The sequence below is a fragment of the Homo sapiens genome, chromosome 9, assembly GCF_000001405.40.
Source record: "Homo sapiens chromosome 9, GRCh38.p14 Primary Assembly".
NCBI classification, from domain to species: Eukaryota; Metazoa; Chordata; class Mammalia; order Primates; family Hominidae; genus Homo; species Homo sapiens.
In genome coordinates, this window is record NC_000009.12 from 30910605 (window position 1) to 30914235 (window position 3631).

The window sequence follows — 3631 nt, forward strand, 5'->3', positions numbered from 1 at the left end:
AGGACTTTCTCTTATTTCATGTAACCTTCTTATTTCATGTAATCTCCACAAATACACTGTGAATTAGCTTGGGGTGGGGCTTTTGAGAAGTAATTATGTTATGAGGGTAGAACCCTGACAAATGCAATTAGTTCACTCTGAAAGAGACCCCTTGTCCCTCCTACTATGTCAGTACATGACAAAAATATTTTGGTCTATAAACCAGGAGGCTGGTTCTCATCAGATTTCTCCTGGGGCCTTGATTTGGACTTTCTAGCCTCCAGAACTGTCAGCAATAATTTTCCATTGTTTACAAACCACTCAGTTTATGGTATTTTATTGTAGAAGCCAGTAGGACTAAGGAGAAATCTGAGGTTTGAGAAAATTAAACTACTTATCTAAACAAGGCCCAGAAGTCTGACCTTCAAAACCAACCAAGACTTGTTCCTTTGTATCTCACATTGCCTCATCACCCAGAATCTTCCTTCTTTCATTCCCAAGGATGAATAGGGCAGGGTAGGGATGAGAGAAGTGTCTTAGGTTTTGATGTCTTTCCCGTGACCTTCTTCTCTGAGTTTTTTTTTTTTTTTTCCCAAGGGCAATTTAGTATAATAGACATTCAAGAATAATAAAACTATGGTTCACCTTTGGAAAGGGCCTTTGGGGAGAGGATAGCATAATTATCAATACATTCTTTATCTCCATTTCATTGCCTTTGTATTAATACTGAAACACAGGACAAGAATGAAGGCAGGGAACCAAATCTCCATCTCCCTTTTCTCAACACCTTCAGTTTTCATGAATAATATTCCTTTCTACTGTGACTTAGTGGATCTTTTCATCTTTCCCTGCTATTCATTTTTAAAGTAGATAAGATACTTTCTATTTTTTTTTTTCATCTTTAAAAAGTTCCAAGAAGGGTTTTGTGGATAAGGTCCTCAATGAGCTTTTAGTCAAAAATTCTCTGCTAAAAAGTGTGCGGAATATCAGACCAATATGTACATGTGTACTCCATATGATAACATTCTGCTTCTTCTTGGGCTCTAGCATCTGATCACAGCAATTCTCAGCATTGCTCTACAGGTCAGACAGAACACAAAGACATGATTCATGTCAGGGGACATCTGAGATGAGATGATAAATGTTGAGCGGATATGTTCGGAAACATTGTTCTCCTGAAGGAGCCCCTAAATCTTATAATCTGTCACCTGAATCTCTGTTTGAAATGTATTCTGAAGGCCTCTGCTAAACCAAAATAGGTGGTCCATGAGTTTCACATCTAATTAATAGTCCTTACTCTAGTATCTTCCCTGCCCAACCTATTCTTTGAGATTCTGTTCTACTCTATCCCAAGAGTTCTGTTCTTAGGTGTCTCCCTGGACCAATGTCATTGAGGAAGTAATTGAATGCGTATGTTTCACAAACATAAGCGATGCCTAATTTCTCTTTTGAGAGTGAGTCAATAAAGGAAGGTGCTCTGCCAAACACAGGAGGAAGATGAGTTCCATGTGAGCTCAGCATGGAGCACTGTATTAGGGTTCTCTAGAGGGACAGAACTAATAGGAGATACATATACTTATATACATGGGAGTTTATTATTAACTCACACTATCACAAGGTCCCATAATAGACCATCCACAAGCTGAAGAGCAAGGAAAGTGAGTCCGAGTCTCAAAACTGAAGAACTTGGAGTCCGATGTTTCAGGGCAGGAAGCATACTGCACACGAGAAAGATGTAGGCTGGGAAGCTAGGCCAGTCTAGCCTTTTGGTGTTTTTCTGCCTACTTTATATACTGGCCATTCTGGTAGCTGATTAGATGGTGCCCACCCAGATTAAGGGTGGGTCTGCCTTTCCCAGCCCACTGATTCAAATGTTAATTTCGTTTGGCAATACCCTCACAGACACACGCAGGACCAATACTTTGCATCCTTCAATCCAATCAAGTTGACACTCAGTATTAACCATCACAGACACTGATACTCCTTAGACAAAAGAGATGCTTCTCCCATATCTGAAGTGAAGTGCTGTTCATCACTGGGAACTGGAATCTGGGAAAGTGTGCTCCAGCCCAGAATTCTAGTCTCATAACCCAGAGCTCTGGAATATTCAGAATGGGTTTTTGAAGATGAAGAAAGGGACACAAAGAGGAAAATGTACTCTCAGCATTTCCTCTGACCACGTAGGCTATAAGAGCCCTTTACTCCACCCATATCCCATGCCTGTCAATCTCTCCATCCTGCCCATGCCTTTCTATTTTGTGAATCTATCCTATAATCCCACTGTCTATCTGTATTAATGTAAATGTATTTTTATTTTACTCCTAATGTAGATATAGCTGATTGCGCCATTACTCTTTGAGATCTTGGCTTGGACTCTACCACGTTCATGATCTTCGAAAGCCTGGATTTTTCTCAGGAATTTTTGAAAAGTCCTGTGGATTTATATCCAGAATCACCTCTCTGCCCTCTACTCCAGTTTCTCCATATTATCTTTTTGTCTTGCATACACTTAGGTCAGGGTATCTCAGTCTTGAGACTTGTGACATTTGGGGCCTGGAAATTAGTAATTGGGAATGGGAAGTGGTGTCCTGTGCATTGCAGGATGTTTAGCAGCATCCTTGGCCTCTATTTATTATATGACAGTAGCATTTCCCCTCCTCAAAAAAAAAAAAAAGAAAAAAAAAAGGTATCTGAAGATATTGCCAAATGTGCCCAGGAAGAGGGAGATGGATTCTTAGTTGAGAAATAGTGACTCTCTATTAAATGTTGGCAGCTCCCTAACCAATTTTCCTCTAATAGTCTGCTTTAACAAAAGAAGAATTCTTCAGACTTGCACCTTTTATTATTGAGATTACACAGCAGGCCACTTAGCAAGCAATTTAAAGAACCTCCTTTTTTTAAAATTCTTTTTCTCCCCTAATCCCTTTTGAGCTGCTCTGCCCTGAAGGCTGTCAGATGTTTCTCTCCTCCCATGAAGTGCCCCACCCTGCTGATAGCTGGCTCTTCTCTCCTAGGATGTCGCGGCGCTCACCACACATTTGATCTTCCTTTATCATGCACAGCAATTCAGCTCTCCCTTGTCCACACTGCAAACTCTCTCACTCAAGCCCACTCCAATTTAGTAGGAGATGATTTCTTTTTAACTTCTTTAAAAACAGTTGGGATTACATATAGCAAAACTTGGTTTTTTTGAATCATATCCATGACAATTCCCTTTCTGAAGGGTTTCCTTATTCACTTTTCTAAATTTTCACTCAATTCCCTATTGATCACTCATCAGTGTAAAAAAAATCATTTTTGTGGATGATGTGTATGAATGTGTATGTGTGTACATGTATATATATATTTGTGTGTATTTTTTCCCCATGCTAGCCAGGCATGTCACCAAATTATACTCCCAGCTTCATCTTTAAGATTATGAAATGCTAAATTTAAGCACTACGGTTCATTGTTTTCTTTTATCTTCCCACATTTCACTGCTGAGCCTAATGGGCTAGTCTTGGTCCACGACATATAATGCTTTCCTTGTCAATTTTCTCTGCATCACCAGCTTCTCTGTCTCACCCTCCACAAATTCTCTATCTCTGACACTGTCAGTTATGCATGCCTCAATTGTTGCCCTGATAGGCTCTAAACAGTCACAAGAATCTAT

At 39.8% G+C, this 3631-nt stretch overlaps 1 annotated feature.

The window, feature by feature from the left end:
* Positions 2605–3388: an enhancer, noted in NCBI's record as "OCT4-NANOG hESC enhancer chr9:30913207-30913990 (GRCh37/hg19 assembly coordinates)". NCBI's record gives its function as "activates a minimal SCP1, AML or CMV promoter by ChIP-STARR-seq in naive and primed H9 embryonic stem cells {active_cell/tissue: H9 hESC(naive and primed)}" and the evidence as "EXISTENCE:reporter gene assay evidence [ECO:0000049][PMID:30033119]".